Below are 25,170 nucleotides of genomic sequence, written 5' to 3'. Positions count from 1 at the left end.
GACTACAGGTGTGTGCCATCACACCCAGATAATTTTTATTATTTTTATTTTTTAAATTTTTTGTAGAGATGGAGTTTCACCGTGTCACCCAGGCTGGATATTTTTGTATTTTTGATAGGCCTGTACAGTTTCCAAAGTTGCAACCTTTCCCCCTCCCTGAGAGTAGGGGCAGCCCCGGCTCTCCCTCTACATCCTCCACAGTCCCGAGGTTTTGGCCTCTGTTTCCTCTGTTTCCTATGCTTGGAACACCAGTCGCTCTTTTGTTGGTCTGGCTGACTTCTGTTCCTCTTTTAAAAATTTAAGTTTGGCCGGGTGCGGTGGCTCACGCTTGTAATCCCAGCACTTTGGGAGTCCGAGGCGGGTGGATGACCTGAGGTCATGAGTTCAAGACCAGCCTGGCCAACACAGTGCAACCCCGTCTCCACTAAAAATACGAAAATTAGCCGGGTGTGGTGGCATGCGCCTGTAATCCCAGCTACTTGGGAGGCTGAGGCAAGAGAATTGCTTGAACTGGGGAGGCGGAGGTTGCAGTGAGCTGAGATCACGCCACTGCACTCCACCTGGGCAACAGGGCAAGACTCGGTCTCAAAAGAAAATAAATAAATAAATAAATAAATAAATAAATAAATAAATAAAGTCAAGGGGGTAACACCTCTTGGTAACTCTCCTGTTGTTTCTCATGCCAGCATCATCACAGCCTTGAGGCTCTGGGGTAGGTCACTTCGTCGAGCTCGTTTCCATGAGGATAACGTTATCTTGGGTGTCTGTGAGAATGCTGCACTGAGTATAGAGCCCAGGCTCCTGGGTCAGCCGGGTTCGAATCCCCTTTCCTCCGTGAAGATCTGGGTCAGTCACAAGTGCTTCAGTTTCTTCGATCTGACTGAGGGAGGCTTTGACTCCAAAAAATTAACACTTGAGTGTACCTGGCCACAGCTTAGCACATCCAGGGTGTTTCCACCCTTTCTTTGGGATCCTCAGGGCTGGATGGAGCCGATCCTTCCCGTCTCTCCTTACACTCGCGCACTCACGCTGGCTGGAACAAGTCCTCCAAGTAGAACGAAGAGCGCGTTTTAGCGGCGCTCTAGCCCGCCGAGAGCATACGCCCTCCCCACACGGGGCCCCTGATTGTCTGAAGGTTGCGCTGGCACGCGCAACTTCCGGGACAGAGGCTGTGGCTGGAAGGAGCTGGGCATCCGGCCTGAGGCGCAGCGGTCGCGTTAGTTCGGCCCAATGGCGGCACCGCTGCTTCACACGTTGTTTGTCGGGAGATGCGGCCGCTTCGTCCTCTGCAGTCAAGACGCTGGGCGCGTCGAGGACTGGGTAAGATTCAGGCCGCTTCCTTCTGCGCGTCTGGGACCAAAGCTCAGGACCGCGCTTAGAGGAGCGGATTGAAAGGATGTGGGACAAAGCTAATGGCGTGTGATAGGAGCACGGGGTCGAGGGTCATCTCACGTTCACAGAAATGAGCTCATTCCTCCTAACTGGGTAATAGACATGGGTGGGGCCTGGAAAAGTGAGTATGTTCTCTGTTCTGGAGGCCCACTTTCCCGACTGTGTCTCTTCGTGATTTCCCAGGCCTGGGTACTGCCTTCTGCGCCTTGACCCCTCTTCCTTCCCTCTTCTTCGTCCAAATTTGGAAGGGATTTCCCTGGGCTATGTGGGTTATCAGCCGAACGTTGTCACTCATGGCAAATTGAATATTACATCTTTTTTGTTTGAAATTTGTTTCGACACACGTATTTGTTTCGCAGTCTTTATTTTGCTCCACTTTTAAAATCCCTAACCCCCATAGCACTCTTGGCGTTTAACTTTCAGAGTCATTAGGATGCTATGTTTTTTCATTAATTTACTACGTGTAAGTGAAGCAAACCTTGTAAAACAATTAGCGTAATATGATTCCTAATATTTATCGAGCTCCTGCTTACTGTGTTAAACACTGGGGACAGTGGTTTATCCAAAGACACTAATGTCCCTGCTTTCTACAGAGCTTACAGCATAGGGTGGGAAGGCAGTACACAGGCCAATAAATAAACGAACACGATGATTTCAGTTATACAACAAGGTAATGGGGGAGGGAGAAGGGAGAGAAGGAGTGTTCGAGATTTCTCATTGGGAAGACATCTGTCATTTCAGCTTCTACTTGAATGAAGACAAAAATCTAGGCCGGGCGCGGTTGCTCACGCCTGTAATCCCAGCACTTTGGGAGGCCGAGGTGGGCGGATCACCTGAAGTCAGGAGTTCGAGACCAGCCTGGCCAACATGCGAAACCTCGTCTCTACTGAAAATATAAAAATTAGCCAGGCGTGGTGGCAGGTGCCTGTAATCCCAGCTACTCAGGAGGCTGAGGCAGGAGAATTGCTTGAACCCGGAGATGGAGGTTGCAGTTAAGCTGAGATCACACCACTGCACTCCAGCCTGGGCAGCAGAGCAAGACTCCATCTCAAAAAAAAAAAAAAATCCAGCCACGTAGAGATTTGGGAAAAGAGTATTTCCAATAGAGTGAACAGTAAGTGAAATGAGAAACAGCTTGGCTTGTTTGAAGAGCAGAAAAGACATGATGGCTGTAGTAAAACAAGTTGTTGGAGATGAGGTGAGAGAGGTAGGCGGGGGCCAGATTAATGTAGGATTTTAAAGACCACACTGAGAGATTTGGATTGTTACTGTAAGTGCAGTGGGAAGACAGTTATTGGTTGCTGAGCAAAGGAGGGATTGTTGGTTAAGAGTGGAAGCAGGGAGACCAGTAAAGAGGCCTTAACAATAGTCCCACTGAATTATGTTGGTTCAATAAAGGTTGGCTATTATAATTTTTATTATTTTCATGAACTTAATAGCTTGTTAATCTTGGTTCCACAGGATTTCAAATATGCGTGCATTAGAGAATGATTTTTTCAATTCTCCCCCAAGAAAAACTGTTCGGTTTGGTGGAACTGTGACAGAAGTCTTGCTGAAGTACAAAAAGGTAAGAGGAGATAATGTGTGAGGTTTGCTTTTGGTCAGGTCAGAATACAACTATTGCTGTTATACTAAAGACCAATAGAAATAGCAAGATTAATTAAGATACCAGTTGAAATCAAATATTTAATAATAGCATGATGCCGTCAGTGCAAAATTAGAGTAATAGTGTCCTTTTTTTCCCCCACCTTGGCCCATTTCACAGGTAATAATGAGAGAGTAATAATGTCTTTACTGAGGTTTCACCTCTTCAAATGCTTTATTTACAAAGCATCTTTTAACTTTAGCAAGTGCTAGAATTAAAAACAATTACAGCATTTTATTTATTTATTTATTTGTGCTGGAGTCTTCCTCTGTCACCCAGGCTGGAGTGCAGTGGCGTGACCTCAGCTCACTGCATCCTCCACCTCCCAGGTTCAAGCAATTCTCCTGCCTCAGTCTTCTGAATAGCTGGGGTTACAGGCACGCACCACCACACCTGGCTAATTTTTTAATTTTTTTAATAGAGACGGGGTTTCACCATGTTGGCCTGGCTGGTCTCAAACTCCTGAGCTTGTGATCCACCCGCCTTGGCCTCCCAAAGTGCTGGGATTACAGATGTGAGCCACCATGCCTGGCCTACAGCATTTTATTTTTTGAGGAACTTACCTAAGCATTACTTTGGGACAGTAAACCGGTTCTCTGAATAGGGATTTTTGTTTTTGTGGTAGTTTAGAAGCATTTCTACTATATCTCAGCAGTAGAGGGAAAATGTTAAGTAACCGTATGTTTATATGAAATATCCATTTGTATCCATATTTGAGTGAATACTTTTTTAGATCCTCCTGAATTAGATCATTAGAGCTGGCTGTTTTTTCCCCTCATGCTTTTTGAGAATTCGCAGGAGTATCAACTATTATATTCAAATGTCAATACAGAAGTATAGCTAAATGTAGTTTATCATTTTCCTTTTTCCAAGCCCTCTGGCTGCACTAACATGAGTGTTTAAATTTTTGTAGTCATGATTTTATAATCCGCAATTGACATGTGAAAGTTAGTGTTCCTTTTATAATTTCATCTGATGTTAAAGTACGGTTAAAAGTCTTGCTGTTGATACTAAACAGGAAACAAAAGCATAACTTAATTCTTTCCCCTTCTTGTTAAGGGTGAAACAAATGACTTTGAGTTGTTGAAGAACCAGCTGTTAGATCCAGACATAAAGGTAATTAATTTTGTGTTTGATCATTAGCAAAATTATTGCCACTTTATACAGACATAGTTTGCTCTTTGGGTCCCATTCTGTTCTGCAGAACTTGCTCTCTCCATGGTCCTCCCTTACTTTAATCTGGTGGTTCTCAACCAGGGACAGTTTTACCCCCTAGAAGACATTTGGTGATGGCTGCAGATATTTTTGTCACAACTGGGAGGAAAGGGTGCTACTGGCATCTAGTGGGTGAATGACAGAGATGCTGCTAAACATCTCACAGTGCACAGGGCAGCCTCCCATAACCAAGAGTGATCCAGCCCCAAATGACAACAGTGTTGAGGCTGGGAAACCCTGCTCTAATGCTTCCTTTCTATTAGATTACTACCTCTTTCCTCCATGCTGCATGCAACTCTTTTGTCTCTTTAAAGCTAAAACAAACCAAAAAAAAAAAACAAACCACTGTTTCAGCATTTCCAGGTTCGAGATACACCTATCATGTAGTAAAACCTTAATACATTTTGTTTCACCATTCTTCCTTTACTGCCCAGTTTTGAAGAGAATGGTTTATTACCATGGCAGTGGTAGTTAGATTGCCTGGAATGAAATTCCAATTTTATTATCCAGTGTGTGATCTTGAGCAAATTGTTTTAACCTCTCTGCCTCTATTTTCCACTGTGTGAAACCAAGAAAACAATAGAGATTTAAAAAATATGGAGTGTTTTGTTTTTTAAGAGATGTGGTCTTGCTGTGTTGCTCTAGCTATTCACAGGTGTGATCATAGTGCACTACAGCCTTGAACTCCTGGCCTCAAATGATCCTTTCTCTTCAGCCTTCTAAAAAGCTGGGACTATAGGTGCATGCCACTGTGCCTGGCTTTAAACATGGAAATACTTAACAAGGATTCAATGAGCTAATATGCAAGAAGCACTTAGAACAGTCTCTGACTCAAAGTAAGGGCAGTAATTGTCATCTGTTGTTTTTGTTCCAGCTGACTGTGCTGTATCATTTCTCACTCACATTTAAGTCCACTGTTCTTATCACTGTAGTAATTACCCTGACAGATTACCCATGTTTTTTTTTTACATGCTGATTTCAGTGGACTTTTTTTGAGACAAAGTCTCCTTCTTGTCACCCAGGCTGGAGTGCAGTGGTGTGATATGGGCTCCCTGCAACCTTTGCCTCCTGGGTTCAAGCAATTCTCCTGCCTCAGCCTCCCAAATAGCTGAGATTACAGGCACCCGCCACCATGCCTGGTTAATTTTTTTATTTTTAGTAGAAACGGGGTTTCACCATGTTGGCCAGGCTGGTCTTGAACTCCTGACCTCAGGTGACCTGCCTGCCTCGGCCTCCCAAAGTGCTGGGATTACAAGTGTGAGCCACTGAGCCCAGCCTCAGTGGACTTACTTTTTTAAGCCTTGTATTCCTTGTATCAGCCGACACTGTTGGCCACCCACTTCTTAAAACTTCAGTGTTTCTGATCCTCCTGTCTTCTGATCCTTTAATCTCTCTCTTTTTTTTTTTTTTTTTTTTTTTGCTCTGTCGCCCAGGCTGGAGTGCAATGACGCAATCTTGGCTCACTGCAAGCTCCACCTCCCGAGTTCAAGTGATTCTCCTACCTCAGCCTCCCGAGTAGCTGGGACTACACGCGCCCGCCACCACCCCCAGCTAATTTTTTGTATTTTTAGTAGAGATGGGGTTTCACCATGTTAGCCAGGATGGTATCGATCTTCTGACCTCGTGATCCACCCGCCTTGGACTCCCAAAGTGCTAGGATTAGAGGTGTGAGCCACCACACCCGGCCAGTGATCCTTTAAGCTCTAGTATCTCTCGATAGGTTCTTGATCTTAAATTTGGTGTTGATTGGGCTTCAAAACTTGACTCTTTTCTCACTCTGTTGATTCTTCTGTGTGATCTCCTCATCTCCCTTCATGGCTTTGAAATCTACCTGTGTCCTAATATATTTGTGTCTGTAGCCAAGATTGCTCTTGTGGGCTCCAGACTTATTTCATTTTCATTTTTGGGGATGGGCAGAACAGAGTCTTGCTCTGTCACCTAGGCTGTAGTGTAGTGGGATGATCTTGGCTCACTGCAACCTCTGCCTCCTGGGTTCAAGCCATCCTCCCACCTCAGCCTCCTGAGTAGCTGTGCCACCACGCCCAGCTAATTTTTTTGTATTTTCAGTAGATTTGGGGTTTCACCATGCTGGCCAGGCTGGTCTCGAACTCCTGACCTCAAGTGATCCACCCGCCTCAGCCTCCCAAAGTGCTGGGATTATAGACGTGAGCCACTGCACCCGGCCTAGACTTGTTTCTTAACTGTCTGTTAGATGCATTTACCCAGAATCATCATAGATGCTCCAAACTTATCATGTCCACTCTTGGCTGGGCTCCATCTTTCATGGAGCTTTCCCTGGTTCTCTCTAAGCACATGGTTGTTCCTTCATTGAGTCTATTTCCCACACTTCCAGATCTCTCTAGTTACAGATCTGGTTTACAAGGCCCTCCATGGTCTATTTGGTGCTTCTTTGTTCCCCAGATTTATTATCTGTTGGCTTGGTCACTATACATGCCAGCCATACTGAACATTTTTCAGTTTTCTGAAAACATACTTTTCCTTCTGTAAGAAGCAGAACTTCCAGAAAAGACTCAACTGTGTTACTGTTTAAAGACAGCTGAAGCATCACTTTCTCTTTAAAGCTTTTCCTGACCCCTGCCTCCTTTCCCAGATACAAAGGGACATTTTCTTTGTGTTCCACTGTATTTTGTATCAGCAGTTCTCATTCTTGGTATTTTGACATACCAAGAATTGCACTAGTTGTGTGGAGTGTTGCAAGTAGAACTTTTTTCGTCTTGAGACAGGGTCTCGCTGTGTCACCCAGGCTGGAGTGTAATGGGCCCGATCATGGCTCACTGCAGCCTCAACCTCCCAGGCTCAAGCAATCTTCCCACCTCAGGCTCCCGAGCACCTGGGACCACAAGCATGTGCTACCATGCCTGGCTAATTTTTCTAGAGACGAGGTCTCCCTATGTTGCCCAGGCTGGTCTCAAATTCCTGGGCTCAAGCAGTTTCCTCCTGCCTTGGCCTCCGAAAAGTGCTGGGATTACAGGCATGAGCCACTGTTCCTGCCTGCTAGTAGAAATAATAATAGTTCAGTACTAAAGCATCAAAGTCTGCAACTGATTTACTTTTTTTTTTTTCTTTTTGAGACATAGTTTTGCTCTTGTTGCCCAGGCTGGAGTGCAGTGGCATGATCTTGGCTCACTGCAACCTCTGCCTCCGAGTTTTTTAAGTAATTCTCCTGCCTCAGCCTCCCGAGTAGCTGGGATTATGGGCATGCACCACCACGCCCAGCTAATTTTGTATTTTTAGTAGAGACGGGGTTTCTCCATGTTGGTTAGGCTCGTCTCGAACTCCCAACCTCAGGTGATCCACCCACCTCGGCCTCCCAAAGTGTTGGGATTACAGGTGTGAGCCACCACCCCCAGCCTGATTTACTTTTAAAAATGGTACAGTTTAAATGTTATCCTTATAGTTTTGTTGCAGTCTTTTTAGTGGAAAAGAGATAGGATAGATTATTTTATTTACACACTAACTTAGCTTGTTTTCTACATGCCTTTGGCCTTAGTGAGCTACCGTTAATGTTATCCTTAACAGTTTTGGACATATGAAATTACCATAGTACAAATGAGTTGTGGTTTTACTTTATTTTACTGCCAGGCTACTTGGGATTTCATCAGAAAATGGTTGATCTGTGGGAGTTTGACACATGGATATGGCATAGTAAGCACTCAGTAGCTGAATTAAGGTGGGGAAAAGGGGACAGCTTCTTCTCCGCATATAGGGAGGCATGTGGGATGGTGGACAGAGGATAGCCTTGACCGAGACAGATGGGTTTGGACCTGCTTCTTTACTGGCCTCTTGGTTGGGCAGATTGCTTATTAATCGTTCTTAGCCTCAGCTTCCTGAACAGCAAAATGGGAATAACTAAACATCTTGCAGAGTTCTTAGGATTAGAAGAAGATATATATGCGGAGTGTCAGGCACCATGCCTGGCATATGGTGTATTCTCACTAAATGATAACTCCATATGAATATCCCTGTAGGTATGATGACCTTGTGTTGCTTTTATTTATATGTCTAAGCCTTCCACAAATTAGGGGCTTTTTCTTAATGGTTTTTGTCCTGTGCAGTATATATGCATGAATATAATTAATATAGTAATATTTTACATAATTGACACTGTATTTTATACCTTGCGTTTCAAATTTAGCAGTTCTTCTCATGTCACTAACAATTACTATGAACAGTAATTTGATTGCCTGAAAAATATTTCATGGAGGAATGGGGCTATCATTTATACAGAACAAACACATCATAATATATTTAAACTCAGCCACAGATTTGGTTTAGAAAAGTTATGTTTATTCATGACCCCAATTGATCAGCCTAGACTGAATTTTATCAGCATGCTTCCTGGTCAGCTTGAATATAGAGGAAATAGAGGTAGCTATTGTTCCTTTGTGATCTTCTAATATTTCAATCTGCTAGAATTCTGCAGTTTTTAAAAGTCCCAGGTGTCAACATTTGAGGTGATTTCACTTTTTCAGGGCAAACAAAAGTGATCAGGCTGAAGTATTGCATTTAAGTCTTTCTCCTGTGTATTAGAGTTACTAGATTACTTTCTTAAAACGATTAAGTTTATTGTGACATCTTTTTCTGTTTTAATACCCAGTTTTGATTTCCTTCCAAGTTTGTGACCTTTTCCCCCCAACCTATTCTTGATAAATGATTGATATAAGATAGCTGTAAATTTCTGTTATCTTAGAGGATTTGTGATTTTGAAAGTACTCTTTGTTTAACTTAAGGATGACCAGATCATCAACTGGCTGCTAGAATTCCGTTCTTCTGTCATGTACTTGACAAAAGACTTTGAGCAACTTATCAGTATTATATTGGTAAGTTCACCATTTATTTTACTGTCAAGTATGTAATTCAGAACTTTGGTAATAGTATATGTTATATTAATAACATGCTGCTTTTATCTTTCTTCCCCCACTCTAGAGATTGCCTTGGTTGAATAGAAGTCAAACAGTAGTGGAAGAGTATTTGGCTTTTCTTGGTAATCTTGTATCAGCATAGACTGTTTTCCTCAGACCGTGTCTCAGCATGATTGCTTCCCATTTTGTGCCTCGTAAGTCATTACTCTTTGCTTGCTTGGAATTTTCTTTTCTTTTCTTTTTAATACTTCTTTGTTAAAATACCACCTTCCCCTTATATATGAGAGACTGCTACCATGGAAGATTCCAGATGCATATTGGCACCAGGTCTGGTAGACATATATTCCCCGTAATGACCCCTATGGAGGTGTCTAGATTCATTTGTTGCTGTGAGTTTGATGAATTATAACTTGCTTTATTGAACTCCTGGTGAAATCTAGGAATTTTTAGCCATTTAAAAACTATAAAGTTGCATTACTTTTTTTCAGATTGTGCATTTAATTAATCATTGGGCTAACTTTGGATTATGGAAAAATAACTTTTTTTATAGCTGTTCATTGTCTAGGTCAATAACTTTTTTTGTATAGCCATTCATTGTCTAGATCAATGACAGAACAACATATTTTCTTTTTCCCTCAAAAGCCTGAGTGATCATTAAGGAAGGCGATGTAGATGTTTCAGATTCTGATGATGAAGATGATAGTAAGTATAAAAAGGTTTAAAGCCTGGGCACAGTAGCTTACACCCATAATCCCAGCATTTTGGGAGGCCAAGATGGGAGGATCACTTGAGGCCAAGAGTTTGAGACCAGCCTGGGCAACATAGTGAGACCTTGTCTCTGCAAAAAAACATTTTTTTTCAAATATTTTCTTAAAAAAGGCTTAAAGTAGAACTAGGCAGGGTAGTGTGTGTCTTTAGTCACAGCTACCTGGGAGGCTTAAGTGGGTGGATTGCTTGAGCCCAGGAGTTCAAGCTCTGCCTGGTGGCAAGACTCTGTCTTCTTTAAAAAAAAAAAAGTAAAGCACAGAATACCTGGCATCTATTCTAATAAGTAGACTGCAACAAATGACAACTTTTGATGTAATCTTTTTGTTATATTTACCATTGATATGCAGTCAGTTGTCCTGAATGCATTATTTATATAATTAGTCCATTTAATTTTCATTGATGCTGGTGGAGAAAAGTCTTGAAATTATTATTTCTCTGATAAATTATTCCGTTTTGGTTAGCATGTGTTTTTAGCTTCAAGTATGTCACTTTTTGTTTGTTTGTTTGTTTTTTGAGACAGAGTCTCGCTCTGTTGCCCAGGCTGGAGTACAGTGGTGTGATCTTGGTTCGCTGCAGCCTTCACCTCCTAGGTTCAAGTGATTCTCCTGCTTCAGCCTCCTGAGTAGATGGGACTACAGGCGTTTGCCACCATGCCCGGCTAATTTTTGTATTTTTAGTAGAGATGGGGTTTCACCATATTGGTCAGGCTGGTCTCGAACTCCTGACCTCAGGTGATCCACCCACCTCGGCCTCCCAGAGTGCTGGGATTACAGGCGTGAGCCACTGTGCCCGGCCAGCATTTATTTTTAGTTTCAAGCATGTCGCCCTTCAGTTTTGTTTTGATGCTCATACTCTGAACTTTTCTTCTTTCAGATCTTCCTGCAAATTTTGACACATATCACAGAGCCTTGCAAATAATAGCAAGATATGTACCATCATGAGTATACTTTTCCTTATTTTGAATGTTTAATTCTCAAGAAAATTGTAATCAATTAGTAAAAATTATAAAATGTTAATAGTATTAAAGCTTGAGTCTTACATTGCATTTTTTTTTTTGTATCCACTTGAGGAAACATTACATTCTACAAAAAGTGGCATTTCCATTTTCTATTTATTCTCTTTAATTGTTTTTCAAAGTTCGTATGCAGATTCTCCCCCAATTTTGTATGGTGGTTGGAATTTTGTTTTTATCTTCAACAGATATGCTATCCAAAATTTTTCAGTGAGAAACCCCTGGGTGTGTTTGTGTCATGCCATATGAATAAAAATTGCACTTCTAAGAAAAGCTTTTCAGGTTTGTGGGTTTCTTTTGGAGGGGTGGATTTCTAGTTCCCTCTGTCTGTTGATTATTTGTTAACTTAAAAAAATCCAACTTGATTATTTTTTCTTCTTTTAAAAATAATATACATGTGTAGTGGGAAATGTCAGCAAAAGTGCTGTTATGTTTCTGTGGGAGAGAAGCTCCCTCTTTGATTTGCTGTTGATATCAGAGTTAACAGAAGCTTATTTTCTCTAAGTTGTTATAGACTTTCTCAGAAGCTATACATTGTAAGTTCCAGTTCTGGCCGGGCGCGGTGGCTCACACCTGTAATCCCAGCACTTTGGGAGGCTGAGGCGGGCGGATCACCTGAGGTCGGGAGTTCGAGACTAGCCTGACCAACATGGAGAAACCCCGTCTCTACTAAAAATACAAAATTAGGTGGGCGTGGTGGCGCATGCCTGTAATCCCAGCTGTTTGGGGGGCTGAGGCAGGAGAATCGCTTGAACCCGGGAGGCAGAGGTTACAGTGAGCCGAGATTGTGCCACTGCACTCCAGCCTGGGCAACAAGAGCGAAACTCCGTCTCAAAAAACAAAAAAAGTTCCAGTTCTTTGAGGTAAGGGTTCCTGTTTGCCTCCTATGTCTATCGATATTTGCTTTTAGAATGGTAGTTTTCCTTTTTATTCCTTTTCTAGAAAGTAAAGTCAACATGGATTGATTTAATTTTTTAAAAATAGGGCACCGTGGTTTCTCATGCCAATACTGGTGGAAAAATTTCCATTTGTTCGAAAATCAGAGAGAACACTGGTAAGAAATCTTTTCATTGAGAACATCATGGAAAAGTTGTTTGTATGATTTCATTTTAGATGATATTAGGTCTTTTTCTTTCTTTTTCTGTCTTTATTTTTATTTTTCTTTTTTGAGACCGAGTCTCACTCTATCGCCCAAGCTGGAGTGCAATGGCGTCATCTTGGCTCACTGCAACCTCTGCCTCTCGGGTTCAAGCAATTCTCCTGCCTCAGCCTCCCCATTAGCTGGGACTGCAGGCACCTACCACCATGCCCAGCTAATTTTTGTATTTTTAGTAGAGACAAGGTTTCACCATATTGGCCACACTGTTATCGAACGCCTGACCTTGTGATCTGCCTGCCTCGGCCTCCCAAAGTGCTGGGATTGGTGAACCACCGTGCCCGGCTGATGTTAGGTCTTTTTCTTAAAGGTTACTTTGTCTTCTAGACTTTAAACTGATGTCTAAGAATTTGACTCAGATTCCTTTCTTATAAAGCGGCTATTGGGGATTCGCAGTGCCTTTTTCTGTTATTACTATGTGCAAGTCAAGGTCTGAGTTCATTTCCGGAATATCTGTAGTGGCTTTATGCTCATACGGGCAAGAATTACTAGAAGATAATAGTTCATGTATTACTAATTGTGAACATGCCTTATTTTAACCTGAAAACAAAGCCTTCCATAGAAGAATTCTGCTTAAGTTTTTGTACAATGTTCAGATCATCTGTGCAGTTTTTAATAATTAATAGTGGTTGCCTTAGTAGAAAACCGAATCTAGTAGCATACAAAAAGAATTACGTACCATGACCAAGTGCGACTGATGTTAGGAATGCAAGATTGATTTTTTTTTTCGGGGGTGGGGGGACAGTCTCTGTCTGTCACCCAGGCTGGAGTGCAGTGGCACCATCTCAGCTCACTGCAGCCTCTGCCTCCAGGGTTCAAGTGACTCTCCCACCTCAGCTTCCCAAGTAGGTGGGACTATAGACATGGGGCACCACACCCCACTAATTTTTGTGTTTTTGGTAGAGATGGGGTTTTGCCATGTTGGCCAGACTGGTCTTGAACTCCTGACCTCAAGCGATCTACCCGTCTCCACCTCGCAAAGTGTTGGGATTAGAGGCGTGAACCACCGTGACCGGCTGAGATTGAGTTAGTACCTGAAAATGAATTAATAAAATATTTTGTAGCAATAGAACAAAGGACAAAAACCACATAATCATCTCAGTAGATGCAGAAGTGTGTGACAAACACCAATATCCCTTTATGAGAAAAACAGAAGGAAATTTTCTCAACCTGATAAAGGGCATCTGAAAAACCCACAGCTAACATCATATTCAGTGGTGAAAGACCAAAAGTTTTTTCCTAAGACAAAGAACAAAACAAGGATTTCCGCTCTTGCTGCTTGTCTAGCCAAGGCAGTTAGGCAAGAAAAAGAATTAAAAGCATCCAGATGGAAAGGAAGGCGTAAACTCTCTTTTGCATGGTGATTTTATATGTCATTCTAAGAAGTTTACACACACACAAGAAATTTTAGAGATAATAAATGAGTTCAGCATGGTTACGGGACAGAAGACTAACATACACTAACCAGTTGTTCAAGACAATTGAATAGGGGAGAATAGTCATTTCAACAAATGCTGCTGGCAGAAGTGGATATGAACATGCAAAAGAGTGAAGCATATGGATATCCATATACAAAAATGAACTCAATAAAAGCCCTACATGAAGTGTAAAAACTGTAAAACTCTGAGAAGAAAACGAGTACATTTTCATAATGTTGGATTAGGCAGTAATTTCCAGATTTGATGCCTAAGCACAAGCAACCAAAGAAAAAATGCATCAATTGTACTTCAAAATTAAACGTTGTTATGCTTCATAGGACATCTTCAAGAAGATGAAAAGAATCCCCAAATAATGGGAGGAAATATTTCTAAATTTTATGTCTGGTAATGGACTTGTATATGTAAAGAACTCTTATAATTGAATAATAAAAGGGCAAATAGCCCAACTGAAGAGGGCAAAGGATCTGAATAGGCATTTCTGCAAAACACATGAAAAGAAGCTCAACATCATTAGCCATCAGGGAAATGATTTCACTTAATGCCCACAAGGATGGCTATAATCAGAACGAGAAGACAGTAACAAGTGTTCACAAGGATATGGAGAAATGGGAACGTTGGAACTGTCATATGTTGCTGTGAGAATGTAAAATGGTGCAGCCGTTTTGGAAAATAGCCTGGCATTTCTTCAAGGTTAAATGTAGAATTAACACGTGACTCAGCAGTTCCATTTCTGGGTTTATACCCAAGAGAAATGAAAATATATGTCCACAGAAAAACTTGTACATGGATGTTCATAGCAGCAGCATCCATAATAGCCTCAAGTAGAAGCAACTCAAATGTCTGTCAACTGATGAACAGATGACAAAACATGGTACAATGGAATATTACTCAGCAATGAAAAGGAATGCTTTATATGTTACAACATGATTGGACCCTAAAAACATGCCAAAAGGCTGTGTATTATATGACTCCATTGATAGGAAAGGAATGGTTTACATGTTACAACATGATTGAACCTTAAAAACATGCCACAAACTGTGTATGACTCCATTGATATGAGAGGAATGGTTTACATGTTACAACATGATTGAACCCTAAAAACATGTATTATATGACTCCATTTATATGAAATGTCTCAAAGAGGCAGATTCATAGAAAGACTAGTGGTTGCCAAGGTCTTCATTTTTTAGGGGTGCACTAATGGATGTAGGATTTCTTTTTAGAGTGATTAAAATGTTACAAAATTGCTGGCTGGGTGCAGTGGCTTATGCCCATAATCACAGCACTTCGGGAGGCTGAAGTGGGAAGATCCAGGAGTTGAAGACCAGCCTGGGCAACATAGTGAGAAAATGTCTCCCTAAAAGGAAGAATTAACCTCATGTGGTGGTGTGCACCTGTAGTTCTAGCTACTAGGGAGGCTGAGGAGGAAGGATTGCTTATCCCGGGAATTCAAGGTTGCAGTGAGCTATGATTGCACCCACTGTACCTCATCCTGAGAGAGAGAGCAAGACCCTGTCTCTAAAAGAAAAATAAATGTTCTGAAATTGATTATGTTGACGGTCACATAACTGAATATATTAAAAACTTAAATTGTATACTTTAAGTTGGTGATTGTATGATATATGAGTTTTATCAATACAGCTACTTAAAAACCTATAGTTATGCAAATTAAAAATTTCATTTACTGGGGATAATTGAAATGATTATACCGAACATAATACATGTAGAAACAGTATAGTTTTTGTATTGCTGGATAGTCTGTTTTTTTCTTTTTCAATATTTGAAACTAAAGGTCATGTAATTGATGTTTTTCTTACATAACTGTGAAATATTTATTCTCTGTTGAAATGTTTTATCTTACGTTTTCTCCTTTAGGAATGTTACGTTCATAACTTACTAAGGATTAGTGTATATTTTCCAACCTTGAGGCATGAAATTCTGGAGCTTATTATTGAAAAACTACTCAAGCTGGATGTAAGTATTGAGTAATCTATTTTTATTTTCTTTTTTTTATTTTTTATTTTTTTATTTTCATTTACTGACTTGAATTTGTTATAATCACAGTATGTGGAAACAATAGTCAGTGATAGAAAAGAATCCACTTGGCCAGGCATGGTGGCTCATGCCTTTATTCCCAGCACTTTGGGAGGCCGAGGCAGGCAGATCACCTGAGGTCAGGAGTTCAAGACCAGCCTGGCCAACATGGCGAAACCCCGTCTCTATAAAAAAAAAAAAAAAAAATTAGCCAGGCATGATGGTGGGTGCCTGTAATCCCAGCTACTCAGGAGGCTGAGGTGGGAGAATTGCTTGAATCCGGGAGGCAGATCTTGCAGTGAGCTGAGATCGTGCCACTGCACTCCAGCCTGGGCGACAGAGCGAGACTCCATCTCAAAAAAAAAAAAAGAAAAGAAAAGAAAAGAAACCACTAGCACCATTCTTTGCTTCCTTTCTTTGAATGTGTCTTGAACTCCATCTGTGCATGTGCTGGGAGTTGTAGACAGTTCCTTCTCATGATTGGAGAACAAGGCGTTAAATACATAGTTATCCAAATGTAAAAGTATGGTTGTGGAAAATGCCATGAATGAAACATACATTATGAGTTAGAGAACCTGATAGAATCACAGTGGGGTCAGGAAGGGATTCCTACGGAAGTGATTTTTCCTGTTTGGCCTTTCTTAAGGGCAGATTATAATTATAAACAGTTAAAACTTTGTTTAAGGAGGCCCGCACTAAGGTGCAGTGGGAATGAAAGGAAGTGGTAGATTCTAGTGACATTGTGAGGAAAGGTGAACTGGTCCTTGAGACTGGTTTGGAGGAGGGGAGGCAGACAGTAAGGGAAAGGAATCCTTCAATAGTTGCTCCCTGTGGAATCGAATCTTGGTGTTGCCATTAATGGTAGTTAGAAATATGAAGAGGAGGCTGGGTGTGGTGGCTCACGCATGTAATCCCAGCACTTTGGGAGGCCGAGGCGGGCGGATCACGAGGTCAGGAGATCGAGACCATCCTGGCTAACATGGTGAAACTCTGTCTCACTAAAAATATAAAAAATTGGCCGGGTATGGTGGTGGGCACCTATAGTCCCAGCTACTCGGGAGGCTGAGGCAGGAGAATGGTGTGAACCTGGGAGGTGGAGCTTGCAGTGAGCCCAGATTGTGCCACTCTGCTCCAGCCTGGGTGACAGAGCAAGACTCTGTCTCAAAAAAAAAGAAAAAAAAAATATGAAGAGGAGGCAGTTGGAAGAGTAGTTCCATCTTGGCCAGGTTCAGTTGCTGGTGGGCAGCCTACCAGAGAATACTCACAGGCAGTCGTGGCTGCAGATGGGGACCTGAGCATAAACCTTTGGAAAGATGCAGTTTAGGACAGGGGAGGAGAAGGGTGATCAGAAGTATGGGGAAAACCAAGAGTCTGGATGCTCAGGAAGAATCCGCTGGAAGGAGGAGTTTGGTCAGCAGCATCAGATACTGCTGTCATTTTTTAGAAAGATGAAAAGAGCAACAGTCCTTGGATTTAGTGGTTAGAAGGTAGTCTTTGTTGCTTTCTGGAGGACCATGTCAGTGAAGACGCAGAAACTGCATTTCGGGAGAGGATGTGGATGGTGGGGAAGCAGAATTGGGGCTGTTAGAGACCTTGGTGCAGGGTTGTGGTGGAAGGAGGGGATGGAGCAGGGCTAAGAGGCGTGGTTTAGGAGTGGGGAGATGTGAGCAGGTTTGTGGACTGAGGGGAGAGGAGCTTTGGTGGAGGAAAACATTGATGCTATAGGAAAGCAGGAAGATGGAACAAGGTCTTAGAAGAGCTGGAGCTTGGGCTCACTGGTGCAGTGCTCCCTTGGAGTTGCACCTCTCTGGCCAACTGTATATGTACTCTTTATAGTCTTTCTCTGGTATATACTTAAGGAACATTTTAGAATGTTTACAAAGAAGGTCAGGCATAGTTAATAAAAAATGGCATGGTTTGAGTGGTATGTTAAGATATTTGAATGGTGATATACCAAAATAAATATTGCATCATGCACATTTGGCTTGCAGTTCATCATTTTTCTGCTCAATTGATTGACGATATGTTTATTACACAATGTGTCTGTGAGTGTCTTGTGCATAGAGATTGTATTAGTCCATTTTCACACTGCTGATAAAGACATAGCTGAGCCTGGGAAGAAAAAGAGATGTTTTTGTTTGTTTGTTTGAGATGGTGTCTCGCTCTGTTGCCCAGGCTGGAGTGCAGTGGTGCGATCTCGGCTCACTGCAACCTCCACCTCCCGGGTTCAAGCAGTTCTCCTGCCTCAGCCTCCTGATTAGCTGGGATTACAGGCACGTGCCACCATGCCCGGCTAATTTTTTGTATTTTTAGTAGAGATGGGGTTTCACTGTGTTAGCCAGGATGGTCTCAATCTCCTGACCTCATGATCCATCCACCTCGGCCTCCCAAAGTGCTGGGATTACAGGCGTGAGCCACTGCACCTGGCCAAAAAAGAGGTTTAATTGGACTTACAGTTCCACATGGCTGGGGAGCCCTCAGAATCATGGCGGGAGGTGAAAGGCACTTCTTACATGGTGGCGGCAAGAGAAAATGAGGAAGATGTAAAAGTGGAAACCCCTGATAAAACCATCAGATCTCGTGAGACTTATTCACTATCATGAGAACAGTATGGGGGAAACCTACCCTATGATTCAAATTATCTCCCACCAGTCCCCCCCCCAACAACATGTGGGACTTACAGGAGTACAATTCAAGATGAGATTTGGGGCCAGGCGTGGTGGCTCATGCCTGTAATTCCAGCACTTTGGGAAGCTGAGGCCGGTGGATCACCTGAGGTCAGGAGTTCGAGACCAGCCTGACTAACATGGAGTAACCCCATCTCTACTAAAAATACAAAATTAGCTGGGCACAGTGGCACATGCCTGTAATCCCAGCTACTCAGGAGGCTGAGGCAGGAGAATCTCTTGAACCTGGGGGGCGGAGTTTGCGGTGAGCCAAGATCTTGCCATTGTATTCCAGCCTGGGCAACAAGAGCAAAACTCTGCCTCAAAAAAAAAAAAAAAAAAAAGTGAGATTTGGGTGGGGACACAGAGCCAGACCATATCAGAGCTAGAATAAATGTTGAATTTGTTGAGGCTACCTGACATAGAGCATCATGTGATAGTTGTCGATTTTATATAAGTATGTAGTAAAAGGGGCTTGGTTTATTATATTTAAATTCCTTCATGACCTAGGTCAGTTTACAGGCTTGCACCATAATTGTGTATTGTGTTGGGGTGTGATATAAGGCACTAATCTGGACACCTTGAACGTGTGTATATCAGATGAATTTCCATCCCAAAATAACATAGTTGTATTTTTTAAATCCTTTTATTCTTTTTTCCCCCCCCTTTGTTATAGGTGAATGCATCCCGGCAGGGTATTGAAGATGCTGAAGAAACAGCAAATCAAACTTGTGGTGGGACAGATTCCACGGAAGGATTGTTTAATATGGTTAGCAGTTTATTAATGAAAGTGGAGATGAAGTTTATCATAATCAAAGGGTGGAAACAGCTAGTGCTGCTCATCTTTGTTAAGGCTTTAGATTGAAAGAATTAAAATAGTTTAGCAAACTTGAAAACGATTCCTTATATGAGTAATTTGCTGCCATGTCATTTAGCACTTAGCATAATTGGTCTATTTCCAAGGCTTTGAATTTGGGTTTGGTGAAGTATGTTTCACTTTTGTTGTTGTAACTTTCAGTGTTTGTTTTTGTAAGCCAGATGCTGTCTGTGAGGGCGTGGCTAATGGAAAAGCATAACTGTTTAATTTCTGCATTTTACCACTTGTACACTTTATAGCATTACTTCTTACGAGTAGCTGGGACCACAGATTACCATGCCTGGCTAATTTTTGTGTTTTTAGAAGAGGCGGGGTTTCACCATGTTGGCCAGACTGGTTGTGAACTCCTGACCGCAAGTGATCTGCCCGCCTCCTGCCCCGCAAAGCGTTGGGATTACAGGTGTGAACAACTGTGCCTGGCCCACGTTCCCTTCTCAGTACACTTGGAGAGAAAACAGATTGCTGCCTGCCAGCCCAGCTAGGTGCTCTGAAAATGTCATCCTGCCTTTGGTCACTAGGTGGTGGTCTTCCCTTAAGCCTTTCTCTATTAAAATCTCATATGGGGTAATTAACAGTATTTCCTTTATTCTTTCCAAGGGTTGAGTTGTAACTAGCCCAAACCAACTTATTAATCTAGAATTTTAAAAACTTTAGGCTTTGACTTTTCTTCTTCTTCTTCTTTTTTTTTTTGGTGGGGGAAAGAATATAGAAGGCTTTTCCTTCTCTGCAACGATTTTGTGGCTTCCTAGAGGTCAGGAGAGTGTTGGTCATGGGAAAGAAGGTTGAATTCAGTCTGCCCACATGGGCGTGCCTAGCTTTAGAACAGCGCTATTTAGGAGAAGTTGGAAGTTACACCCTTTGGTGAGAAGCTGTGTCTGTTTTTTTCCATGATTGGCATAATTAACTCAAATACCAGCTGTACATTAGTCCGTATTTCTGTTCATGGTTGAGTTCAGTGTGTCCAGAGACCGGAAGGTGCTTTGCACTCACAGGAGTGCCCATGTGGAGCTCCATGGGATGTGAATTATTGTTGGTCACTAGTTCTGGCTGACATTGGAATCACTTGAAGAGTTTTTATAATATGTGGATTCCAAAGCCCTGTCACAAACCTATTGAATTTGTACCTCCCAGGTTGAATTTTTTGTTGTTTTTTGTTTGTTTGTTTTTTGAGATGGAGTCTCACTCTGTCACCCAGGCTGGAGTGTAGTGGCATGATCTCAGCTCACTGCAACCTCTGCCTCCTGGGTTCAAGTGATTCTCCTGCCTCAACCTCCCAAGTAGCTGGGATTACAGGCACCTGCCACCACGCCTGGCTAATTTTTGTATTTTTAGTAGAGAGAGGGTTTCTCCATGTTGGCCAGTCTGGTCTCGAGCTCCTGACCTTGGGTGATCCACCCGCCTCGGCCTCCCAAAGTGCTGGGATTACATTTACAGGCGTGAGCCACTGTGCCTGGCCCTGGGTTGATTTTGATGCTTAGCTAGGTTTGGGATCCATTGGATTATTTAACACCCGAGGTGCCTTTTGTTTCTAATGATATTCTCTCAACGTGTTTTAAAAATGAAGCCCATGAGATAGTTATGAGATAGTAGAACTTTTCCCTACATTGGTGAAGTAAAAATCTTGGGATTTTGATAGTCAGATTATCTTAGGCATTAAAAAATATCACACCGATGCCCTCTCTTTTTATAGGGATTCGCAGAGGCATTTTTGGAACATCTTTGGAAAAACTTGCAGGATCCAAGTAATCCTGCCATCATCAGGCAGGCTGCTGGAAATTATATTGGAAGCTTTTTGGCAAGAGCTAAATTTATTTCTCTTATGTAAGTAGCCTAATTTGCCGAGTACTTTTTAATATCATGCTTTAAAAAGAGTATAGCATTGTCTCAAGTCAGAAATATCTCCCATATGTTTTTGGCATGTTTTTAAAGTGAATAAAATTCCTACTCTGTGCAAGATGTTTATATTTCTAAGTGGTGATTTTAGAATAAAGTGTCTCCTTTTTTATATATAAAACCCTGTATGTAAGGCTTTTGTCATCTCTTTTGTGTGGTTGCACTTAAAGATCCATTTGTTTTGTGGATAGAGGACAGTGTTGTATACTGTTTTGATTCTTTTTGTAGGTTTGTCATTTTTTTCATTTGCATTCCAAATCTATTGTATCTGTTAAAGCTGAAGAAAAACCCTTTTAAAGGTAATAGACCTATCTAGGAGGCCAGTTTCTTTCAGTGGCCCATGAAGATATCTTTGGACAAGGATGCTGTTGAAACCCTTCCCCAAGAACAAAATTATTCACCCATAGGACTTGACTGGATGCATCAGGGAATACTGAAGTCCACCAGACTGTCTTTCTCTTGAGACGTGTTGGTGAACATGTCCTATTTGGCCAATCACCCTAAGAGGGGTGCCTTTGAGATGGTTAGGAGAACCTGCTTTCCATCCCTTGGGACGTTCTTAGGGGCTCACCTGTTCCTAGAAGGTCAGAGCTACTCTGCCTTGTAATTGGAAGGTTGTCTTCCTACGCACCCATCCTTATCCTTCCTTTCTTTGCTTTTCCTCTGTACCCATGGGTATTATTTAAAGAAACCTATGAACTTACTTAGCATGGTTTGTAATGAAAGGCAGTTGTGTGTTTTTATGTTATTCTGGTTTTTTTATGAAGTGTAAAGTTGACTTGAATTTTTCTTTTCTCTAGTACTGTAAAACCATGCCTAGATCTTTTGGTTAACTGGCTGCACATATACCTTAATAACCAGGATTCGGGAACAAAGGCATTCTGCGATGTTGCTCTCCATGGACCATTTTACTCAGCCTGCCAAGCTGTGTTCTACACCTTTGTTTTTAGACACAAGCAGCTTTTGAGCGGAAACCTGAAAGAAGGTCAGTGTTGTGGGAGTGCTGGACTGGATTTTCCTTGTGTTCTTGTCACCCTTCAGAATGGTGATTCATTACTTTTTTGAGATTTTTATAAAAACTGGATTCAGAAAACTGCATGTACACTCAAACTTCTAATAATAATTTCAAGCAGCTCATAGGCCCCTACAAACCCCTTAAGATAGATTTGAGCTTGAGAACCCTACAAACCCCTTAAGATGGATTTGAGGTTAAGAAAGAGGTTTCTGCCTTTGAAGGTTTGAAATGTGAAGATGTCTCCAGAGGTGAGGCTGAGCCCTGGGCTGTGCCAGCGCCCTGTACAAAGCTTCAGTTGGATGCACCTTCTCTTTGTTGTCCTTGTAACAGCCCAGTAAATGGCAGGTATTCTCCCTTTACAGACAGCACCAAAGCACGGGGAAGTCATTTTCCCAAGATCACATGGTTACTGGCAGGATTAGAAAACTGAAGCCAGGTTCAGCTGACCCTAAAGTTTGAGTTTATATAGATTACACTCTGCCTGAAGCCTTGAGACTTAATTGACCAGTATTGTTTTGCTAATTTCTAAGAGTTACTTATAATTCAAATCTATCAGTTGAAACTTACTAGATTAGCGTATTTTAGTTGAAGAGAGTCTCCAAGAACAGTGTTTATAAGTCATTGTAAATTGTTCTGTTTATGTTTATGAATAATTCATATGGTTTTGTGGGTCACTTCCTCTAAACCAGGGTCTGTCAACCCTGCATGATTGCCATTTGGGCTGCATCATCCTTCATCGTCGGGGGCTGTCCTCTGCACTGTAGGATGTTTAACAGCCTCCACCTACTAGCTGCCAACAGCAGTCCCTGACCACCCCCAGCTGTGACAACTAAAAGTGTCTCCAGACACTGCCAGGTGTCCTCTGTGGGGGTTGCAGTCTCCTTAGGTTAACAGCCACAGCTCTAAACTGACAGTTGTACGTGTTGCATTATATATGTTTACCTACATCCTACATGCTTCTAAAAGATGTTGTATGAACTAGTAGGATGAGGTTTTATCACAAGGTAAGTAAATACAAGCTCTGCTTTTCTTTGTATAAATTAATGCCAGGAATCTGAATTAAATATCTTGTTTTTGTAAGCAGTGACATCCCATTTAGGTAATTTTTATTGAAATATGCATCAAAGAAACTCCTAAGAAAATATACTTAAGTACAAGTTGGTCAGCTTGCCTCTTAAAATAAATGTGATGTCTTTATTTTACTCATGTAGGAAAGAATTGTATTCACTAAGTCTAAGAAAGTGGCTTCTGTCTAAATTTGCCGTCCGTTGAGGTAGAAGGCAAATTTGGAGTTTTCTTGTTTAGAAAAAAAACTACAGATGACTACTGTGCACCTGAAAACAGCACTCAGCTTCACTAACGAGACATGCAAGCTAGAATCAAATTGCTGTTTTGTTTTGTTGCCTGTCGTGATTGTTAGCTGAAACCAAATCACAAGGTCTTTTTCTCCCTCTGTATTAGCTCAGCATACACTGAGCTTACAAACGTATGAACTTCACGTTGTCGTGGAATCTTACAGCCTGCTACTTCCTAAGTTTCCTTTAGAGAAGCTGCCTTGGTGACCAATGAATGTGGTTAGCCTAGTGATACTCTTCTGGGCCATATACTGTGTGACTATCTGCATGGACCTTTATTGAAAGCATTTCTGCAAATAATTTTTTTAAGTTTTTTTTAAATGTGTGATAATTTGTGCTTTTAAAGATATCTTACACTTTTCACTTATTTGTACCTTTAAAAATCTTTTTTTTTTTTAAACCAAAGGTTTGCAGTATCCTCAGAGTCTGAATTTTGAGCGGATAGTGATGAGCCAGCTAAATCCCCTGAAGATTTGCCTGCCCTCAGTGGTTAACTTTTTTGCTGCAATCACAAAGTAAGTTATTTATGCTTTCTTGATGGGAGTTATTTAAAATATTTTTATTTATGTTTCTCTAGTATTGTAAGAGTCTGTTAAATTTCTATGAAATTAGTAACATTATAAAAGGCCAGGCGTGGTGGCTGACGCCTGTAATCTCAACATTTTGGGAGGCTGAGGTGGGAGGATTGCTTGAGGCCAGGAGTTAAAAGACCAGCTTGAGCAACATAGTGAGACCCTATCTCTATAAAAAAATTTTAAAAATTAGCTGGGTGTGGTTGCCTGTGCCTGTAGTCCCAACTACTCAGGAGGCTGAGGTAGGAGAATCACTTGAACCCAGGAGGCAGAGGTTGCAGTGAGCTGAGATCGTGCCATTGCACTCCAGCCTGGGTGACAAGGGCAAGACTCCATCAAAAAAAAAAAAAAAAAAAAGGAATTTCTGCAATACGCTACAACATGAATGATTTTGTAGGACATTACGCTAAGTAAAATAAGCCAGTCACAGAAAAACAAATACTGTATGGTTCTACTTAAAGGAAGCCCATAGAGTTGTCAAAATTAGAGAGACAGAAAGTAGAATGGTGGTCCCCAGCGGCTGCAGAAAGACAGAGTGGGGAAATTATTGTTTAATGGGTACAGAGTTTTCATTTTACAGGATGAAGACTTGTGGATATGGATGGTGGTGATGGTTGCACAACAATATCAATTTATTTTATACCACTGAACCGTGCACTTCAAAATGGTTAAGATGGTAAGTTTTATGTTGTGTATTTTACCATAATAAAAAAAATTGTAGAGGGAAAAACAGTCTGCCTCCACTTTTGATATGGGACTGCTAACATCTTCCACCCTCCCTCTCCCCCTCTGCCCCACATCTGGGCAAGCTAAGAAAGCCTGCTGCTCTCTCCTCTGGCACCAGCTGGAAATTCATACCCAACAAGCCCTAGCCCTCCCACCAGACCCACATTTCATCCCCATCCCCATCGCATCCCCATCCCCATCCCCATCCCTAACCACCATAAATGCTAAGGGAGTTTCCTTGCCTGGTTTTCTGAAACCATTTTTGGACCTGCTTGGGAATCTGCCCTGCTCTCTCAGAAAGCTTCATTATATGAGCAATAAACCTTTTCCTACCCTCTTGGTGCATGTGGTGTATCATCAGTCTTGACATCTAAAACAAATTTTGGGTGGTGGGGTCCATGTCTTTGCAGGGTGACCACAATAGTACCTGGCACATTATGTGTTTAATAAACAGAGATTACTGTCATATTTATTTTATTTTATTTTTTGAGATGAAATTTCACTCTTTTTTCCTAGGCTGGG

At 41.7% G+C, this 25,170-nt stretch overlaps 1 pseudogene across 1 annotated transcript, besides 3 other annotated features; it reads left to right on the top strand.

The window, feature by feature from the left end:
- Positions 336-1,140: an enhancer, noted in NCBI's record as "H3K27ac hESC enhancer chr16:21831796-21832600 (GRCh37/hg19 assembly coordinates)". NCBI's record gives its function as "activates a minimal SCP1, AML or CMV promoter by ChIP-STARR-seq in naive H9 embryonic stem cells {active_cell/tissue: H9 hESC(naive)}" and the evidence as "EXISTENCE:reporter gene assay evidence [ECO:0000049][PMID:30033119]".
- Positions 1,141-1,946: an enhancer, noted in NCBI's record as "H3K27ac hESC enhancer chr16:21830990-21831795 (GRCh37/hg19 assembly coordinates)". NCBI's record gives its function as "activates a minimal SCP1, AML or CMV promoter by ChIP-STARR-seq in naive H9 embryonic stem cells {active_cell/tissue: H9 hESC(naive)}" and the evidence as "EXISTENCE:reporter gene assay evidence [ECO:0000049][PMID:30033119]".
- Positions 1,243-1,352: an enhancer, noted in NCBI's record as "active region_10561". NCBI's record gives its function as "activates an Ori minimal core promoter by ATAC-STARR-seq in GM12878 lymphoblastoid cells {active_cell/tissue: GM12878}" and the evidence as "EXISTENCE:reporter gene assay evidence [ECO:0000049][PMID:35858748]".
- Positions 2,441-24,985, top strand: RRN3P1 (RRN3 pseudogene 1; annotated as a pseudogene). Its single transcript, NR_003370.2, has 12 exons — positions 2,441-2,506; positions 2,854-2,959; positions 4,097-4,153; positions 9,004-9,093; positions 9,200-9,329; positions 9,778-9,837; positions 15,386-15,484; positions 18,887-18,979; positions 20,778-20,908; positions 21,781-21,965; positions 23,757-23,865; positions 24,503-24,985. The product of NR_003370.2 is annotated as an RRN3 pseudogene 1 (transcript).
- The last annotated feature ends 185 nt before the right edge of the window (positions 24,986-25,170 follow it).

This window comes from Homo sapiens, chromosome 16 (assembly GCF_000001405.40).
Source record: "Homo sapiens chromosome 16, GRCh38.p14 Primary Assembly".
NCBI classification, from domain to species: Eukaryota; Metazoa; Chordata; class Mammalia; order Primates; family Hominidae; genus Homo; species Homo sapiens.
Note: the sequence above shows the minus strand (reverse complement) of the source record. Positions and strands in the feature narration are given on the sequence as shown.